General features: G+C 55.5%; 1 protein-coding gene and 2 long non-coding RNA genes across 3 annotated transcripts in view, besides 6 other annotated features; 2 read left to right on the top strand and 1 right to left on the bottom strand.

Moving 5' to 3' along the window:
- Window positions 4,884–5,384: an enhancer, noted in NCBI's record as "H3K4me1 hESC enhancer chr1:47911867-47912367 (GRCh37/hg19 assembly coordinates)". NCBI's record gives its function as "activates a minimal SCP1, AML or CMV promoter by ChIP-STARR-seq in naive H9 embryonic stem cells {active_cell/tissue: H9 hESC(naive)}" and the evidence as "EXISTENCE:reporter gene assay evidence [ECO:0000049][PMID:30033119]".
- Window positions 10,888–13,535, bottom strand: FOXD2 (forkhead box D2). Its single transcript, NM_004474.4, has one exon. The coding sequence runs from the start codon at window positions 13,441–13,443 to the stop codon at window positions 11,956–11,958; it is 1,488 nt and encodes a 495-aa protein (NP_004465.3). The 5' UTR covers window positions 13,444–13,535; the 3' UTR covers window positions 10,888–11,955.
- Window positions 11,348–12,117: an enhancer, noted in NCBI's record as "H3K27ac-H3K4me1 hESC enhancer chr1:47905134-47905903 (GRCh37/hg19 assembly coordinates)". NCBI's record gives its function as "activates a minimal SCP1, AML or CMV promoter by ChIP-STARR-seq in naive H9 embryonic stem cells {active_cell/tissue: H9 hESC(naive)}" and the evidence as "EXISTENCE:reporter gene assay evidence [ECO:0000049][PMID:30033119]".
- Window positions 13,306–13,485: a silencer, noted in NCBI's record as "silent region_858". NCBI's record gives its function as "represses an Ori minimal core promoter by ATAC-STARR-seq in GM12878 lymphoblastoid cells {active_cell/tissue: GM12878}" and the evidence as "EXISTENCE:reporter gene assay evidence [ECO:0000049][PMID:35858748]".
- Window positions 13,516–14,415: a silencer, noted in NCBI's record as "silent region_857". NCBI's record gives its function as "represses an Ori minimal core promoter by ATAC-STARR-seq in GM12878 lymphoblastoid cells {active_cell/tissue: GM12878}" and the evidence as "EXISTENCE:reporter gene assay evidence [ECO:0000049][PMID:35858748]".
- LINC01389 (long intergenic non-protein coding RNA 1389) overlaps window positions 14,262–19,680 on the top strand; it is a 56,522-nt gene continuing 51,103 nt past the window's right edge. Inside the window, exon 1 of the long non-coding RNA NR_126355.1 lies at window positions 14,262–14,289. This is a non-coding gene — a long non-coding RNA (long intergenic non-protein coding RNA 1389). The remainder of the gene's footprint in view (window positions 14,290–19,680) is intronic.
- Window positions 14,896–15,055: a silencer, noted in NCBI's record as "silent region_856". NCBI's record gives its function as "represses an Ori minimal core promoter by ATAC-STARR-seq in GM12878 lymphoblastoid cells {active_cell/tissue: GM12878}" and the evidence as "EXISTENCE:reporter gene assay evidence [ECO:0000049][PMID:35858748]".
- Window positions 16,938–17,453: an enhancer, noted in NCBI's record as "H3K4me1 hESC enhancer chr1:47899798-47900313 (GRCh37/hg19 assembly coordinates)". NCBI's record gives its function as "activates a minimal SCP1, AML or CMV promoter by ChIP-STARR-seq in naive and primed H9 embryonic stem cells {active_cell/tissue: H9 hESC(naive and primed)}" and the evidence as "EXISTENCE:reporter gene assay evidence [ECO:0000049][PMID:30033119]".
- Window positions 16,938–19,446, top strand: FOXD2-AS1 (FOXD2 adjacent opposite strand RNA 1). Its single transcript, NR_026878.1, has one exon. It is a non-coding gene; the product is annotated as an FOXD2 adjacent opposite strand RNA 1 (long non-coding RNA).

Raw genomic sequence — 19,680 nt, 5'->3', positions numbered from 1 at the left:
ATTGCACCAGACAGCATGCTGGATAGAGATCTCAGTGTGACTGTGGCCTTCAGTGAAAAAGAAAGAGAGGGGGAGAGAGAGAGAGATCTCAGAACTGAAGCCATCTCATATCCCAAAGCCAGCCTGACTTCCACATCGTGTTCTTGAGGGGCAGACTGCCTCTTCCAAATCCAAGGACCTGGGGAGAGGAAGTTGCTCTGGGTGCTGGAATGAAGGGTGAATCCCTTCTGGTGACATTGGAGGAGGGCTGCTCAAATGGAAATCTGTGATGGATGATGACACACTGGGAGGGGCTCCTGGCTCCCTATAGCTGCCATGACCAGCAAGTCCAGCGGCCAGAGGTCTGTTGACTGAAATCGGAGTCAAACAGGATCAAGTATGGGGTGATGAGTTCTCCCCACAGCAGGCTCCAGAGCTGGGGAGGAATCCCCACCCCATGACATCCTTCAGCTATTCTCTCTCAAGGCCGTCGGCATTCTTCCCTCTGCGCCCATATTACAGCTTTAATTCCACATGCATTTGTGTTTCTTTCTGTCCTCCACTAGATTGTCACCATCCTGAGGACAGGAACCACATCGGTTTTGTTCACCACTGTATCCCCAGTGCAGAGGAGAGGACCAGGCACAAAGTGAGTAATAAAAGAATGGTGAAATGAATTGAGACTGACAAGGACATTCCAGCAGATGAGGGCAGTCTGGTGATAAGTTCATTTCATTTTACAGAGAGGGAGAGTAGGCCCAGGAAGATGGAGTGGTGCAAAAATAAAGCCGCCTACATATGTGGAGAGGGTGTGGGGGTGGCAAGGCCGGGCTCTGGGGTCAGGAGCACAGACAACAGAAAAGTACTCACAGTCCTGGCCCCCAAGATGCCCCAGCCTCCATAAAATCAGTTCCCTCCCCACAACTCAGCCACCTCCTCCTTGAGGTTGTGAACTCCTCCTCCCAGAGGTGCAGGGTGTGCCCAGCCACGGCAGGCTTCTCTCCAACCAGGTGTCCCAGAACTGCCCCCAAAGGGCTACGGGGAGAGGAATAAAGCAGCTACCAGTTTGGGGGTGGAATAGGGCATCCCTGCTGCGGCGCAAGAGCTACAGGGACCATAACAAGGACTGCAAGCCTTAGCACCTAATCTATGCAGGATAAGCCTTAAGAGGGAGCGCACAAAGCCAATCTTGGTAGCGCAAGCACATCCCGGTTAGCACAGGATCTGCCTCTGTCAGTTTAAGGTCATCTCTGTTAGCACAGGGTCAGACCCACTCAAAGCAGGGTCACCCCCGGTGGTATAGGGTCATCCCTTTTTAGCGCTGGGTCGTCCCGCATAGGAGCAAGATCGTCCTAGTTTGGAGAGTCAGCCTCTAACGGAGGGTCAGCGCAGAGCGGGGCGGGGTGGCCGGGTGAGCGGAGCGTAGGGTAGTCTCTGCCAGCCAGGGTGAATCCTGGTCAGCGGAGGGTAAGCTCCCGGTACTTTGGGGCCAGCGGCGCCCCCAAGTGGCTGGGCCCGTCCTGCGCTCAGGATCCGGTGTCAGGGAGGCTTTCAGGAATCTCGGTCCGGAGCCCTCCACCCTGGCTTCGCTCACTCGAACTGGGAGTCTCGCCAACTCAGTCCCGGGCCTCGCTCTTCAGAAATTGCTTCTGCTTCTGAATATTCTTTGTACGCATGTTTGAGACTTTTTCTGTTCACAGGATGCAATTTGGGTGCGCGATTGCATCTGAGACCCAGAATCCGAGATGTAGGCAGAGAGGAGAACTTCGACTGGAAAACTGGAGCCCCAGCTCCAGGGTAAGCGGCAACAGAGCCCGCCCCTCCCCATTCCCTTCGCGTCTCCATCCTCAGACACTCACTCGGCGGACTTGTCTCTGAGAGCTCTGGTCCCGGCCCCCAGTCTTCGAGTACTTCCAGCTACAACCCCACAAAAGCAAGTTCTTTAGTTTGGCCTGGGCGGGGACTTTTAGGGAGGGAGCCAAGCCACAGCCCCCTCCCCACTCAGGCTTTGGGAACGTTCTGACCCACTCCCCCACATTGATAGGTTACAGCCCTCCAGCTCCTGTGGGGTGCCCTGCCTCTCCCCACTACCCAGCCCTCATCCGGGCAAGGCTTCCCGGAAAGAAGGCTGGGTGGCTCAGGGTGAACAGAGAGGAGTAAAAAGGAGCTGGGTTAGAGGCTCCCTTTTCCATTTTGTGCCACCCTATCTCAGTGCCCCGGGAGACACAATGGGATGGGCTGAGCTCTGCCAGCTTCAGGCAGCGACTCACCTTCAACCTCATCCACATTCCCCCTTCTCCCCAAAGGAGGTACATTTATGCAAACCGGCAACCAAAACATACACAGAGATTTGGCCACCCCTCCATGGCCCTGCCAGGGAAGGAAAAAGCCCTGGGTCCCACGTGGAAGCCTCTTAGATCCAGAAAGGAAGTGAGCCAAGCTCCCAGTAAGTAGGCAGCTATGGTAGAAGTCCTGAGGCTGCTCCTGAGATGTCTCCAAAGTCCAGCACTGTCCCATCCAGCACCCTTGCTGCAGAGCGACAGCTGAGGGAGGGGCATGAGCTGTTCAGTAGACTAGAGGGAGGAGCTGGGAAGCAGCCACTGACCACAGACCCAGGAGGTGAGTCCAGGCTAACTTTCCCCAGCTCCATTTCTGAGACAGAGAAATGGAGGCCCAGTGGGGATAGGGGGAGTACTTGCCAAAGGACACAGAGAGTCAGCACCCCAGCAAGAATCAGGAATCTTCTCACCTCCTCCCCTTCTCTACTCCCAATATTAGATAAGTATCTTCAGGGTAGGTGCTAAGGTAAAGATCCAGGAGGAGTGGAAAGAGGCACCAAAAAGCCCTGGTAGCTTCCAGAGGTAAGTGTAATTCAGAATTCCTAATGCTACACTTGAGCCTACACACGCACACACATACACACACACACACACACACACACACACACACCCCAAAGCCCTGAAGCTTGGTCAGCATATCTGACCAAGGAAGGAACGGCTCCAACCAAAGCTGCCTGGGACCTGAGTGGCCCAGATTTTCTTTGTTTATTCTTCACTTTATAAAAGGCCTAGAGTCAGGTGGGGTGAGGGAAGCAAGGCTTGGAGCACTCCAGTGGGCCAACTGACAGATAGATTCTCCAACAGACTCACGAAAGCAAAAGAGGCAGGGAAGCCACCACACTGGAAGATCCGAAAACTAGAGACATTCACTGGCAAACTCTGACCATTCCCCTACCCCTTCCTCTCCTCCAAGGGGGTCACTGGCGCTGGACCTTCTGCTCTGCCTAGGGCTAGGAGGAGAATTCGGCCACCTCTCCCAGCCCAGGAACCCTGGGGAAAGTGGAGTGCCAGACGCTCTTGCTAACCTACACTTCTCCCTAAAGCCACGAGCACCTCTCTCACCTAAAGGTGATCTATTCCATGCCTGATTTATCTGGATAATTGTCTGCTATCCTTCACCTTGATCTTGACCTTACTCCTATCCTGCCTTTAGGAAGGAAGGGGCATTCAGAAGCATTGACAGCCCAGGTGACATTTGAGATTTCCCTAGAGACAAGAGGAGATGCTAAGTTTTTAGTTTCCTCAAAATAGCTATACCTTAATGAAAACAAAATTGCAGCAAGGTAGGAGAAACAAGTTCTAGTGTTCCATAGCACTGTAGGGTAGATATAGTTAACAATAATTTATTATATATCTTCAAAAACCTAGAAGAGGATTTCTAACGTTCACAACAAAAAGAAATGATAAGTGTTTGAGGTGAGAGTTATGCTAATTACCCTTATTTGATTGTTACATATTGTATGCATGTATCAAATATCATTCTGCATCCCACAAATATGGGATTTACATACAATTAAATCCCATATTTGTGGGGTTGTAATAATTGTAGTAAATTATTTACTACAATTATTATGCATCAACTAAAAATAAAAGGAAAAGATCTGGACCAGTGTCTATAGTCTATGTTATTTGTCTATGTTAATTATCTATGTTAATTGTCTATGTTAGTGCATAGATGCTGCAGGGTCCAACTTTATATCTAGGATCCTGCTGAGCAACTCTGGGCAAATGCCACCGCTCACCCCCTCTAGACCAGTTTCCCATACAATGTTAGCCTTGGAGACCCTGCAAGCTCTGGCATTTCAGGCTCTACAGCCTGCACCTGCCTCCTTGATGTAAGCCAGTTTTCTGGCAATGGAAGAGAAGACTCCACAGTCACCTAGGACCAGTAGCCAAGACCCTCTGTGTGGTCTAGAGGGGAGGGGGCTAGCAGCACCAGGCCAGAGAACAGGTCCAAGGCCACACAATGGAGCCTCTCAGCTGCTCTGCAATAACCTGGATCCTGACCCCCAGGCAGGCTGCAGGGGCTGGACATAGCGGGAAAGGTAAGAGGTAAGAATCTTGGGAGGAGGGCTGACTGCTCCACTGCTGCCCTCACTGCACTCCATTAGCACCTTCACTTTGTGCTCCATGTTCCCATCCTTGTCTGCAGTAGGGAAGGAAATTGGAAGAAGGATACGTCCTAATTTTTGTTAAGGAACAGAGGAATAGGCTGGGAACTCAGGCAGGGACTCATTCCTAACCCTTCCACTCCAATCCTCTTCACTCACATTTCTCCAGCCTCTGCCCAAGACAGCCAGGGAGACTTACTGTACTCACAGACTCACACTGATACATCACAAGTATACCTTAGCACACACATAGTCATTCATCAATCTTCACCCCTAAGCACATTCTCCTGCACACACTGATGCATATCCATACCCTCTCACACACAAGCATAAACACAGTCACAGTCCCCAAACACCCAGAAGGCACACATCTATGGGCTGTGATACCTGCAGCCATCATGATAAAGTGAAAAGCTACAAACTTAACCCTTAAAACACCAAAGTTCTTTTTTTTTTTTTTTACTTCAAATATGGTGATAGTCGATCGTTATATCTTTCTTTGTTTTCTCAACTACCAAGTTAGATTGCTTGTAATGATGCCAGGCAGAAGTTCACTGCTTGTACCTCCAGGACAATGCCCAGCACACAGTAGGTGCTCACTAAATATTTAAGGAAGGAAAGAAGGAGCCAGACAGGAAAAAGATCTCCAGAGTTGGGGACAAATTAACTCGCCTGTGTTTGAGCATTATCAGGTAACTCCTCAAACAGGAAAACTGTTCTTGGTCACACACTGAGCCCTGACGCTGGGCTTACACATTTTAGATGGTCAGCAGATGGACCAAGGTGAGGGGTGCTCAGATCAGGGGCCGGAGAGGTCGTGTGGCTCATCGGAATCCGGAACCCGCTTCGTAGTTTGTCTGCCCTCGCATTGCAAGACCCACGGGCTTCCAAACAGACACTAGGAACGATCCTCAGTCCTTGCAGATCTTCGATCTGCGATCCTCCTGCCTGCCTTCGGGCTCTGCAGACCATAGCTGGCTGGGGCAGCCGGCACCCAGTGAACTGGGACCAAAGCTGGCCTTAGGATACATATCCTCATACCGTTCGGGTCCAGGGCTCATCTTCCCAGCTGCACAAACTATCTGCTGTGTGACCCCCGCCAGGTAGGTTCCACTCCAAAGTGGAAAGTAGAGCCGTGCTGTCCTCAGAACCCCCAAGCTCCTGCAGTCTGGGTCGAAGGCTAATTCACGCAATAGCCTCACTAGTTGCCCTCTTTGACTATGATGACTGTTGAGGAGGCGAGACCTATCTCAAAAAGATGTATAGGCAACTCAAAGTTGAGACAGGAACCCAAAAGGCCCAGAAGGGGCGTCGGGGAAGGAAGGCGTGGGCCGGGGTGGGGGTGGGGAGGTGGATTCCTCACACTCAACCCGAACCCAGCACATTTGCATCTGAACGGGATGGGGCATCTAAGCCCAGGAGTCCGAACTGCACAGACACCTGCTGGGGGAGGGGGTCGCGAATCGAGGGTCCTCTGTAAGCACCGGTGAGTTAATGTGAACAATAAAGTCCACTCCTGTACCCTCGGCCCTTACCCCACCCTCCGCCACCACACACACACCGGCAGTGTCTACACAGATAACTCGAAATGCACTTTTCAGGTCTGCAGTGATTTTTAGGAATCAAAAGGACGGATTTGAATTTTTTGTTCCCCCAATGATTCGCCCTTTCCAGAACTAAGATCCATGCAACTGCAATTCCAAAGATCCTTCTGCCTGCGTAGACAGAAATGCCCCAGAGATGAAAGCAGCCTGAGGCAACTTTCCAACACCTAGAGAACTGAGCACAGATCTCCAATGCCCGGGCTTCCCGCGGTGAAACGCGCGGAACCCCTGTAGCGGCATCGGAGCGCATCCTTCCCAGCCGAGCGCACTTGCGGGGTCTGATGAAAACCCCTCGGAAGCCGCGTATCTCTTAAATAACCCAGCAGGGAGTGGAGTGGCAGTAAAGCCTGGGACTCGGTTACCGACTCCGGGACGACGAAATTTCGGCGAGGAGGCTAGCGTGCCGGGAGGAAGGCACCGGGTAGAGACCCCTGCTGCAGGAGAAATGCAAAGTCGCGGACAGCGAGCGACTTCCGCTCAGAGTCCGCGTGGAGCGAAAAGACAGCGCTCCGCAGGGACCCAGGACTCGAGGCTGAGAGCAGAGGGAGCGCCAGAAACAACCCAGAAGGTGACGGTGCGGAGTGCAGCACCGGGGCGCTGCGGAGGAAACCGCCTTCCTTCCCCACTAGTCCAGCAGTCCGAAGCCTCCAGGCCTCCGGAGCGGCCTCAGCCTCGAGCGGCAGCTCTCGCTCCGCTACGGAAGGAGGCGGTGCCCGCTCCGCCCTGCGCCGCGCCGCGCCCACTAGCCCGCGGAAAAATCCGTTCCCGAAACTAGAGCTGGAAACCTCTGTCCTGTCTACAGGTTCTCTGCTGGTACGTGTCTGCGCCGACCTTAAAGAACAGAGTAATTCCGCTCCAAAAAACCCAATCAACATTTGTTTTGCTCACAAACGCTTTAGGAGGATGAGTTATCCTGCCCGACCACTGCCCATCTTTAGTTTTCTTTCAACGTTTCTCCAGAGCGCCAAACCTCAGAGCGTCAGCCACAGAGACAAATGTGGGCTGGATGTCATCTTCCTGGTTGGCCCTCCTGAACGCCTCCCCAGGCCCCAGCCTACACAACATTTTGACGCGCGTATCGGAATTAAGTTAGGCGCAAACCCAAACTGGCCCCGCTTTTCTTTGGCTTGATGCATAGTGTTCGAAATAAACTCCGAATTCGGTCCGTAAAGACTCTAGGCGAGCTGCCTCCTCCCAACTTCTCCTAAGCACGAAACCTTACGAGGCACGCTCCACACACAAAATCTTTTCTCCCTTTCTCTTACAAGGTCCTTCGTTTAAACAGCGTCGGCGCCTTTATTCGCCTGACCCTGTGCGCAGGAAAACCCGCCTGGTCGGTCATTGTCTGGTCCGCGACTGCCCCCGCCCCCGCCCCAATCAGTGTCACAAAACGCCCCTTTCAACAGATTCCAAACCCTCTTCACCCGGGCTCACCGAGCCTTCAACTTCATTAAGTGCGCGCTGCGGCGGCGCTGGAGGAGGCGAAGTTTAAATAAACCGGAGCGGAGAGGGAGGAGGGGTGGGCCTGGGGAGGGTTGCTAGTTGAAGGGGGGAGAAAGAAGTGTTTTTGAAAAGGGGAAAAAAGTCATCAGGGAAAAAGCGCTTTGTAACCACGAAGACGCGCCCGCTGTGGCAAGAGCAAATTGGATATGGAGGGGAAGTGTCCGCCCCCACCTCAACTCCGGCTCCTGGGTGGTCCGAGGAGCCCCAGGAGAAAGAAAGAAAGATGGGGAGGAATAAGCGGTGAAAAGAATTAACCGCTTTAATTGGGCTGCAAGAGAGAAGTGCGGAGAGTCTCACCGATGTGCTTCGATCACCCAAACCAAATACCCTTCAATAAAATAAAATGTCTGCTCTTAGCGGCGGCTGAAAAACGTACGTCAAAGTTTCAGAATCAAGGCTGTTCTTCACAGCCCTAGAGAGTAAATCTACAAGATGAGGGAAATTCGCCCGGAAAGACCCCCTCCCCTTCCTTGTGGCCTCGGGCCTCCCGGCGCTGGATGAAAAGGAATGAAATTGAACGAAATTGAACGAAATGAAGTGAAATTGACCAGTGAAATTCGCCAATTTTCTTTCCCTTTAAACTGCCCGCTCTCAGCAGCACTCTCTGAACCCCAGGCCGATTTCCTACCTTCTTTTTTTTCTCACCTTAGAGAGATGAAGGTATGCCCTGAATATTTTCTTATTATTGTCACTGATTGTTGGGGCCTGCAGGGCAGCAGAACCTCAGTTCCCTCCACCCAAGCACAGACGGAACCTACAGGAGCCCCTCCAGATGGGATAGCCTGTTTCTCCTCCCAGGATGCCTAGTGAGCCTCCTTAAACTGAACACCCACCCTATGCACCCATAGTTTGGGAGGAGTCACCCATTAGGCCCTTCCAGTCAGGAGGAATTAAAAAACATCCAGGAGGATTCTACCATACAAATCCTGAAACTCCCTCATCCTTTGCCTTGAAGTCCAGATCCCAAATGGGCCCTTCCCAGCTCCTAACAGGTTCCCCACAAAGACAACCTAAAGGAGCCCCAAACTCTAAATACCCTCCCTTCTTCTCTGCCTTCAGCATCTGGAGCCTTGGGAGCTCCCGCAGCAATTCCCTTTCTGGGTATTTTTCAAGGCCAGCTGGGCATCAGTGGCTTCTCTCTGACTCCCGGTCCTCAGACCGCAATCTTCTCTGGCTCAGGTCTACCCTTCTTGGCCCACTGAGAAACTGGGGTCTGAGTCATGGGTCTGGAGCTCCAAGATCCCTAGAAGCCCCTATAAGGGTACATCTCGCTCTTGTTCCCCAGCCCTCTTTTTTCTACCTTTTCCTGATATGGATCCTCCAACACACAGACACCAAGCAATATGCTCAGATAAATTCACACACACACACACACACACACACACACACACACACACACACACACAAGGGTCTGCTGCTTCTCCTATAAATAGCAGTTGTGGAAGTATCTCATCCAACTATCCACCATCAGACATAATTCTTGCTGACTTAATTTTCTCCTCTAAAGAGGAAAAACCAATTAATAAATCTTTTACGTAAACCTCCGATCTAATATCTGGGAGTGACATATTCATTGTAAATGAGATCACATAGCTACAAAGTGCTTTACTGACAGCGCACACACACACACACACACACACACACACACATGCTCACTTGTGTGGGTGCATGTTCCTTCAGTCACAGTCACCCTTCCTCAAGTGAAAATAAACAAAATTAAACTCAGAGACATTTAAGTAGACGAAGCAACCAGCCAGAGACCTTCATCCCAGTATCAGCAGAGGTTTCTCCCTTTATACCATCCAACCTAACCTTACTTTGCCTGGACCATTTGATAAAATGGTGGGAAGGTGGCCCACTCCGTTTGACCTCCCTCCACTTCCACAGTCTCTCAACAAGGAGAGGGTTGCCTTGCCTCTGGCAGAGGGACTGCGTGTACTCTTTGCACCTTGAGCCTCATCTCTTCTCCACTGGTGAAGGCGATGAGAGACTTGGGAACCCCAAACAACCCTTCCCCAGCTCTGGTGTGTTCTTCCCACCCTAATCCTGATTTTGACACCCTTTCTACAGTGGTCTCAGTCCTCCACCTCTTCCTTCTTTTCTACTATTGCCAGCTGCAGGGATCCTAGCTGAAGAGGCCTGTGTGGCTCACCTCTCTCAAGTTCCCTGCATCTGGGTCTCTGACCGTGTCTTCTTCCTTCTCTGTCTGTCACTTCATCTCCCAACCCTTGCCCTCAACATGTGTCTGTTTTCTGTGAAGTCTACACTGCCTCTTCTTGCACCTCTGTTTCTCCTCTCCTATAATCTCACTGGAATATATAGAGAAAAGAGCTAAGCAATCATCTCTGCTTCACCCAAAGATCACCTCTCACTCAACACACTGGCAAGTCTGGCCACTGGGAGTCCCAGGCATAGGCAGAGAGCTGGGAGACTCAATGGGTTTATGGAAGACTCCAACCAGACCAATGGATTTGTACTCAGGCAGTAGCTTCCAGCTATGAGTCTTGCTCACGGGATGGGAAGTTTTACCTTGAGTGTTACTCCACTGACTCTTTCATTCAGCTCATAGTGCCCCTCTAACCCTCTTGGGCTGGAGGAAAGAAAGGTTTCACAGTCCCCAGTCCAAGCCTTTTACTCTGTTACATGTGTTAGGGGGTGGCGGGGGGGGGAGAGGGGATTCCAGACAAGGCCCTAAAGCCGCCAGGGAGAAACCTGTCTCCTCTCAGAGACAGAAAGACAGCAACTGAGAATCACAAACACACACAAAGACATGTTCACCAACATACATAGAAATAATAATGCAGATATTCTGAAATACAATTCACACACACACACACACAAAAAAAAAAGCAAGGAGCTGTGCCGACCCAGACAAACACAAAAACAAATCATAAGTTCCATAAAAGCCCTTCACTCAGAAACAGAGGCATACAGAGTACACATCACCAGATATATTCACCTTAAATTGTACTTAGTGGGTAGAGTGTTCATGAACCCTTAGCACCCAGATCTGCCCAGGCCATGCCAACATCCAAACTAGAAGGACATGAGAATCCTCAGGTGCAGTGGAAACACAACCCCAGGCAAAACTCCAGGCAACAACCTTCTTAGGACTAGAACGAAAATGAAAGTGCTGGAGAGGCCACAGGCTTCCCAGAGATTCGGCCTCATTAACAGCTGAAGGCCAAGACCAAAGTGCCCCTTGCATCCTCTAAGCTCAAACCCCTCTCTGCCTGCTTGGGCTGCCCAGGGGCCTTTCCTCACTCCCCCTCTGTTGGGGAGCTAAGCTCTTCTGGGAGAGCCCCATCAGGGGCAAGGGAGTGCAGGCAAGCAGACAGAGCTGGTGACTGCTGAAGTTCACATACATTTATTCAATCGACACCAATGGGAAATAGGCGGCAGACAGATTTTTCTTTTCTTCCACACAGACCATCAGACGATTTCACAGAGCTTCCCCACAGTGGAGAAGTTTAAATCAATGCACACCCAGTGGACAGAGAACGCCGAGAGCAGCGCGCTGTACAGATATTTACACAAAATTATAGGACCCCCTGCCACAGGGTGTGCCCTTGCCCACTCCACCCCCACCTCTCCAGTCCCTGGCCCAGACCCTTCTCTTCCACCCAATCTCATTGCCTTTAGCCACAATAAATATCACAGGGCCTGGGACAGGGTGGAACACTGACAGGGTTGCTGGCCGGAGATGGCTGGACCCAGCCAGCCAAGGGAAAGGAAAGAAATTCCTTTAAAAGCACCCAAACACAAAAGAGAAAGGATTTTCCTCAGTGGAGTGGGATCCAGGGTTTCTGCAGGGAATATAAAGACCCCCTGCTTCACCTCTCCGTTCAGCTCCGCCTGCGTAGACACTGGTTTAGGCTTCAGAGGAAACGAACTTCCTTGGAGAACAGCAAAAAAAAAAAAAAAAAAAAAAAGGTTGAATTTTTCTTTTAAGCACAAAGCAGATAATAGATGTCTTTAAATTATAATATTGGACAAGCAGGGTCTCAACGTTGGGGAAGAAGTGAGAGGGGAAAGGCAGAAAGGGAGACCCTCTGTTGGTGTTTCTGGCGGGATCCGTGGAGCCTGGCCAGGCATCTCTCCCGGAATGTGTTCCCCGAGAGGCGCAGAGGCAGGGAAAAAAACGAAGCCCCCACCCCCCTGCTTTTATTTCTCAAACTGTAAAGAATCTTGGCCTGCGACTTCTTCGCGTAGCCCCGGGCCTGTCGCCCTGAGCGATAGAGCCCGCTTAGTCCCAACTATCTGCGAGATTCTGTGCGTGGAGCCTGAAGTGCCGTGTCACGCGTGCCGGCCCAAGGTCTGGAGACTTCATAAATAGACTCCCTGAGTTCCGCTGGGACCGCAGGAACTCCCGGGAGAGGCTGAGGAGTGCGGACCTAACCGGCCCTGGGCCTGCTGCGGTCAGAAGTGGCAGCCACTAAGGCCGGCGACTTTGCTGGCAAACCGGGACCCTGAGGACAGCAGCGCGTCCCCGGGATGCGAGAGGCGAATGTGGCCAGCAACGGGAGCCAGGGCCGGAGCAGTCAGCATGGCCAAGACCTGGGCTTGGCCCCCAGGACCCGCGGCTGCCGCGAATGGCGGTCCCGGAGAGCCCTCGCCGGCGCCCGGGGGTGCTGCCCCGCCGCCACCGTGGCCCATGATGTGGTCTATAGAGAAGGAAGGCCTCTGCCCTGCCCCGGCGCCCCCGCCGCCTGCACCACCGCCCGCGTCCGTCTTGAGGCCCTGGCGCAGAAGTGCGGTGGGCAGACCCGCCGCGGTGCCGGCTGCGGGAGGACTCAGGGACGCCGCGTAGAAGGCTTTGGCGCAGCCCAGCTCCGCGCCCAGGAAGGCGGGCAGGCCTGCGGGGCCCGGGCCCGGGCCCGAGCCTGAGGCAGGCGCAGGAGCTGGGGCCGATCCCGCGCCTGCGAACACCGAGGCCGTCGGAGGTCCGGGTGGAGGCGCGGCGGCGCGGCCTGGGGGTACCGACAGCTGGCAAGGAGCGGCGGCGGCTGCCGCGGCGAAAGCGAAGGCGTGCGGGTGCGGGTGCGGATGCGGGGCCGGCCCCGGCGGGGGTGCGCCGTAGGCCGGGAGAGCCAGCCCGTAGCCGTAGCCGTAGGCGCCGTAGGCAGCGAAGCCGGGCAGGAAAGCGCCGGGATCCCCCGCCGCCGCGGCCCCGCCACGCAGCAGCAGCTCCGGGTGAGGGTGCGGGTGTGGGTGCGGCGGCGGCAGGGGCTGCCGCTTGAAGCGCTTGCGACGCCGCAGGAAGCTGCCGTTGTCGAACATGTCGGCCGACTCCGGGTCCAGCGTCCAGTAGTTGCCCTTGCCCGGGTTGCCCGGCTCGCGGGGGATCTTGACGAAGCAGTCGTTGAGAGAGAGGTTGTGGCGGATGCTGTTCTGCCAGGCGGGGAACTTCTCCCGGTAGTAGGGGAAGCGGCCGCTGATGAACTCGCAGATCTCGCTCAACGTCAGCCGCTTCTTGGGGCTCTGCAGGATGGCCATGGTGATGAGCGCGATGTACGAGTAGGGCGGCTTCACCAGCGGGCTCCGCGTCGCCGCGCCCCCCGACGGCGGTCCCGGCCCGGGCCCCGCTGCGCCGCGGGCCGCCGCGGCGCCTGGCCCCGGGCTCCCCGCTGCGGCCGCCGCCCCCCGGGACGCCAGAGCGCGGGGCTCGCCGTCCGAGCAGCCACCAGACTCCTCCTCGTCCTCGGCTAAGTCTGCCTCGGCTTCCTCCGCGGGAGGCTCGTGGCCGTGGGGGAGCACGTCCCGGGGGGCGCGGGGCCCGGAGCGAGCTGGGAGCTCCCCCCCGCCGCTGCCGCCGCCCACCACGTCTATGTCTGCGTCGGCCTCGGACAGCGCGGCCGGGGAGCTCTCGGAGGACATGATCTCGCAGCAGCAGCTGCCCAGGGTCATGGTGCCGCTGCCGCCGCCGCCGCCACTCTCCGGCTCCGCTCCGGCAGCGGCTCGGGCTCGGCCGCGCTGCCTCTGGGGCGAGTGCGTTTTGCGCGCGGGCGGGGAGGGGGCGGGGGACTGAGGCAGGCAGGGAGGGGTGTCCCCCGGCTCCGCAGCGCCCCCTGGCGGCCCAGCTCGGCCGCGCTCACCTTCCAGGGCACGACCCGCCGGCGGCCCCCGCCACTACCCCGGGAATCCGAGCTGGGACCCGCCGCTGGGGCGCAACGGAAGGAGCTGAGGCTTTCCCTTACCTGGGCGGGCCTCAGCCCCTAGTCCCCTCGGGGTGGCAGTGGTTGGTGGTGGGGGATTGTCCCTCCCGCCTAGCGGCTGCCTAAGGCGGAAGAGCTGCGGGCTAGGGCGGAGCTCCCTGGGCGGGGTGGGGCGAGGCGACAGGGGCGGGCGTAGCGCCTCCGCTGAGGGACCCGGCGGGAACAAACCGCCGCCGCGGCGGGAGCTGGGCTCGAGTGGCCGGAGGCGGGCCCTTGTCTTCGCCGCCGCTCCTGCACCCTGTGCTCCCTGAAGCCGCCGCCTTCAGAACGCTCAGCCCCTGGATGTTAAGGCTCACTCGGGCGCCAGCCGCAGCCAGGGAAGTGGCGGCGGTCCCCACCCGTCCTCTCCCCAAGGCGGCGCCCGGGCCACCGGGCCGAAGCGCAGTGGGAGCGCGAGGCTGAGACGCCGGGACCCACGCCGCCCCAGCGCGGCCCGCCGGCGCCCACCCGAGCCCGCACGGCTTCCAGCCCGAGGGGAGACGCATTCGAGTGATCACCAGGAGCGAACTTGGCGCCCGCAGCCTTGGGCCTGGGAGAGGTGAGATTGCGGCGGCGCCCTCTCCTCCCTCCGCTGTCGGGCCCGCCACCCCTCTCCGCGCGGAGAGGCCGGGCAGAGCGCCGGCCGCTGTGGCCGCGTTCCCGGGGCGCGGGCCGGTCTACTGCTCCGAGTTTGCCTGTTCTCCGACCCTCTGGATCTCGGCATCCGTTTGTCTCAGTCTCTGTGACTATCTCACTCTCCGTGAGTCTCTGTGGAAACGGCATTTGTCTGGATGTCTGTTCATGGGTCTGGGAATCCGCTTAATTTCTCCCTCCCCTCTCCCTGGCCCCAGTTGCCCTGAGGACTGGACACCCCCCACCTTCCTGGCTCCCAGGGTTCTGGGCCCCACCGACAGGCGGCAGGACCTCCTCCGCCCCCTGCCCGACACCCCCTCAGTGAACCCTGACCTCCACCAAGTGTTGCCTTCATCTCTCAAAAGTCTTGTGCAACTAAGGTTGGCCCTGTGCCTTGTTTCTCGCTAGCCGGGTTCCTGCCCATCCTATTAGACCTCTTTCTCCCCCGGCCTCCCTCCAGGACCCAGAAACAAGCAGCTTCAACACAGATTGGGCCCATTTCAGCCTCTGGGGCACGGAAGGGGAGATGGGCGCTGGACGTGAGCAGGAACTGAGCGGATGCCTGGGCTGCTGCCCCGACAGCGCCGCACAGTGGCTAAAGCTCGGGCGTGCGAGGCCGGAATCCCAGCTGCCTCCGCTGTAGCAAGGCTGTGTGACCCTCATTAGGTGACTTCCCCGCTTCGGAGCCTCAGTTTCCTGGTCTGCATAGTAGTTAAGAGCAGCGACCTTAAGTCAGGCTCCTGGGGTTCCAATCCTGCCTTCACTACTTACCCTATCTGTCACCTTGGGCAAGGTTCTTTGCGCTTTGTTTCTGCCTTTGTAAAAATGAGGCTAGTAACACCTACCTCAGAACTGATGTATAAGTGTAGCCATATTCTAGGCCATTTAGGAAAGGGTACTGAGAACACTTTGCAGTTTCATCTAACAGCAGCCTCCAATCTACGGGATAGCCTGGTGTTAATCCAACTCTCCCATTCCACAGATGGAGCTACAGAGGCCCAGGATAGGGAGAAAGAACTCACCCAGGCTCCTGCAAAGAAATAGAACAGAGTTGGGTTGCAACCCTTTTCACAGAATCCTCAAAATAGAGTTCTTCATCCCCCCAAGGTAAGGGCAGAAAAAAATGGAAGGCAGGTCTGACTACTCATGTCCTTTGAGAGGAAGTCGCCTGGGCCCCCTCTGGGACCTCTGACCAAGGGGATCCATTTAATGTGCTGTTCCAGCATAAACTGTCATTGGAAAAAAGAGAAATCTCGTCCTCAAACCATGGACAGCAAATTGGACAGGGACTAGTAGCCCTGGAATTGGAATTTCCTGGGTGACAGACTGTCCGGGGAAAAAGGTCTTGGAGAGAAGCTTCTTGCATGAGTCCAAGGAAACTCACATACCTAGGGTTGCTAGATTTAGCAGATTTATTTTATCTGGCAACCCTACACATACCTCAAGCTTGCTCTTGACTACATGGATATCTGTCTCACACTCCCAGAACCCCACTCACAGATACCCCACACCATGGACCACACACCAACTCCAACCCAGCTCAACTCTGCTAGTATCTAAACAAGTGGAGAGAAAAACAGTGTTGGCGTCATCCTACTCCATTTCACCTTCTGAATGTCCTCATTTCTTTTTTTTCTTTTCTTTTTTTTTTTTTTTTTTTTTTTTGACTGAGTTTCGCTCTTGTTGCCCCCCTGCTGGAGTAAAATGGCCTGATCTCAGCAGCTCACCACAACCTCAGCCTCCCAGGTTCAAATGATTCTCCTGCCTCAGCCTCCCAAATAGCTGGGATTACAGGCAGGCACCAACATGCCCGGCTAATTTTGTGTTTTTAGTAGAGAGGAGGTTTCTCCATGTTGGTCAGGCTGGTCTCAAACTCCCTACCTCAGGTGATCCACCCGCCTCGGCCTCCCAAAGTGCTGGGACTACAGGCGTGAGCCACCCTGCCCGGCCTGAATGTCCTCGTTTCTAAAACAGCAAATGGGAACCAGTAGCTTCCTTCCTTGCCAGCACTCCCCTGGCTCCCCAGGCTTTGGTCAGGGTGAGACTAGCCAGGGCACTTGCTGCCCAAATTTCCTGCTTCAGAGAAGTTCTACCAAGCAGCTACAGCAGCCAGCCCTTGCCTCTGCCTGGCCTTGCTGCACGTTCACTGCTACTGAGACCTACACTGGGGAAGGGGAGTACAGAATCCCCAGCTTCTGCTCTGCAGGGTTGGGGAGGGAGAATCCAGACCCTTCACATACATACTTTTTACAGGAGCGGAAACTGAGGTCCAGGAGATCATGTTACTTGTCAGGCTTTTGAGGGGCGCTAAGCTGGGTTGGACCTACGTGTCCGGGTTCCTAGCCCAGAACCCCTCTGTTTATCCAAATAGCTGTTTCTCTAACCGAGCTCCTCTCTGTATAGAGGGATTTCTAGTAGCCTCTCCTCCCTTCCAAGGTTCTGGGCCAGTTTGTTTTCAACAGTGTCAGGAGTAAGTGCACTGGGGACTGGGAGAAGGGCCACCGCGGGATTCGGAATTTATTTCGTTTTCTTTGCTTCTTCTGTGACCCTTACTTCTTTCGCCTACCGGCTCAGCCTGTTCGGCGTCTTGCAGCAGTGCCTGCGATCCCGCGTGAGTCCGTCGCTCCCTCCGCGAAAACCTGGACTCTTTCCCAGAAGCCTTGGGCTCCAGCACCATGCCTGCTGCAGCCGCCAAAGAGCGGGAAGCCACAGGCTCTGCGGGTCTTGGTTACAGCGTCTCTGGTCGTGCCGGGCCTCCTTCTGCATCTGTTCCACGGCCCGGCCATCTCCCTCGTGCAGCCCAGAACAATTGGGAGGAAGCGTTGGCGGGCGGAGGGGGATGCCTGTTGGGCTTTTCCACTAGTTACTGAGTGTTTTTTGCGAAGAGTACGTTGCTATCAGTGGCGTCCGGGTCGTCTCTCCCTCTCTTCCTTTTGGTCCCCATAAATGAGCTGTTCTCGGCTCTGGGAAAGAAAAGCCCTCCAGCGATTATGCGGATCTAATTAAGTCAATCAGGAAACTGCCGGAGAGCGGCACTGGCTTGAAGCGGAGTTTGTCCTGAGGCACAGCGGAACGATTGCACGCGGCCCTTTTCAGCGGTTCGAGCTCGGCCAGCGCCGGGCTGCAAACGGAAGCCTGAGCTGGGCTTGGGGAACTACGCCCGCAGATTTCTCTAATTTTATTCACAAAACTGGACACCCTCAGGGAAAGCGGCAAAGCCGGCGCGAGCCTCCTTCCCACTCTGGACCTAGCTGCAGCTCCAAAGCGAGATAGCTGTCTAGCCTCAGCCGGTACAGCTCCCGGCCCCTTTCTCCACCCGGATCTTCGGCTGCTCAGAAGCGATCAGCTCCCTTAGCCCAGGTGGGAGGCGGGAGACTCCAGATCCTGTGACCCGCGGAGGCAGACCTCAGACATGTTCCCCATGCACAGAAATGACTGGGGCTCCAGTGTGTGCACCTTCAACTCTGAAGCCCACCTGCCCACTTCAGGCGCTGGCGCGGAGATAACCACCACGCGTCTGCCGGGCAAAGTTCGAGAGTGAATTTACATCTTCTCTTTCCGCTACTCCTGGCCACTGTCCCCTCCCAGCCCCATCTCCCCCGCCCCCAACCCTGGACTATGTGGTAGGGGACTCGCTTAAGCACCCAAGTACTGCGCGGTTGTTGAGACCAAGGCGAGCTGCGGAGCCTGTGGGCTGTTGTTCGTGGGAAGAGGGTTGCGACCTCAGGAGAGACCGAAAACAGCGCCACTTGAAACCCGCCGGTCCTGAAGATCACAGAGTTCCCGGAGTGGTAGGGAAGGCTCCACGCTCTTGAGAGCAGAGGCGGCCAGGGGCAGTGGGGGACGCTTCCAGGTATGTGGGAAGGAGAACTTCATGTCTAAGTGCGCTCTTGTGGGTTTCTCGGCCAGCTGGGCCGAGCCTCTCTTTCTCTGTCCTCATGTGTCTGTCCTCTGGACAACAGTGGCTCTGTATGGCGGATTGCGACCCTGAGTGACGGGCGCCTGTCTTGCATCCTGTGTCCTGTGTCCTCCCCTCCAGACCTCATGCTTGGTGTCCACAGAGTGGACCCAGGACTGCCTGGAAGGCTTATCATCCAGGCCCGCGACTTCCCCCCAGAGTCTGAAGCCTTGCGACCTGGTCGGGGACGACAAACCTGCTCGGGGTCAACAGCGAGACCCTAGTGGGGAATGAGGATGGGTGAGGGTGCGCCTGGGTTGAGGGTCTGTGACTGTAGCATGGAAAAGGAGTTCATGCAGGGATCGCACTGAGGGACAGCCAAGAATACTCCAGCGGCAGCCTCCCTCCTACCAATTACACGCCGCCTGCTGGCACAGTGGCACCTCGGGAACAGGACGCCCTTCCGGGCCCTGAATTGGGGCAGCGCAGGAGGGAGGGTGCAGAGCCATAGCGACCTGTGTGTACCATAGACATGCACATGCGCTCACCTTCACGTGTAACCCTTCTGAGTCCCAGACAGGGTAACTGGCGAGGCCGTAAGTACCCTCGTGGGGGCGGAAATATTGCCGCGTCCCTGAGTCCTCTGGGCAGATGCAGAGCCGCGTAAGCCTCATAGAAGCAAAGCCAGGGGAACAGTGGGAGCTCTGGCCTCGCGGTGCGGACGCTAGTAATGGATTCCTGGGGAACAGCGACCTCTGGAGGAGCCTCTCATCCACACAGAGTCAGGAACTAAAGGACTGGTTCTGAGACAAAGCACCCTTTCCTCACCCTACTCCCATTCCACCCGCTTGGAAAAGTTATCCAGAGACTTTTAACCTCCGGACTCCACTCTTCGCTTATGTTTGCTTTTTTTTCCAACCTGTACCCACGCTTCAAAATCCCTGCTCCAGTCCTGCCTCTTCCAGAAAGAAGCCTTCTGGCCAGCCCAGTTCCTCTTCCCCTCTTCCTGTTCTGAGCTCATTCTCAGGCCACACTGCACAGCCAACCTGCTTCCTGCCTGCTCTTCTCCAAAAAGACTGTGAATCCACTCCACCCACGCCTTGTGTTGCATGCTGGGCATGCCGTTCCCTGCCCCAACCCACCCCACCCCCCAGTGAATAAAGACTGAAGTTATTCATTCCAAAATTGGACTGTTGATTTTTCAAAGTTAATTTCACCGATGGGGAAATTGAGACCCAGAGAGAGGGATGACTTGCCCAAAATCACACAGCAAACTGGTAGCAGAGGTGGAACTAGAACCCTACACCATTTCCCAGGCCAGGGTGCTCTTCATCTCACCTGGATGGGGAGCAGGTAATTTGGGGAGAACTCACTTTGATGGGTGAGACCTGAATTGAGGTTTCACACTGGAGCGGGGAA

Source organism: Homo sapiens, chromosome 1 (assembly GCF_000001405.40).
Source record: "Homo sapiens chromosome 1, GRCh38.p14 Primary Assembly".
NCBI classification, from domain to species: Eukaryota; Metazoa; Chordata; class Mammalia; order Primates; family Hominidae; genus Homo; species Homo sapiens.
The sequence above is the reverse complement of the archived record's forward strand: the minus strand, read 5'-3'. Positions and strand labels throughout refer to the sequence as shown.

Bases quoted from the DNA above. Each gene is read 5' to 3' on its own strand.
- FOXD2 (NM_004474.4), bottom strand. From the start codon at position 13,443: ATGACCCTGGGCAGCTGCTGCTGCGAGATCATGTCCTCCGAGAGCTCC.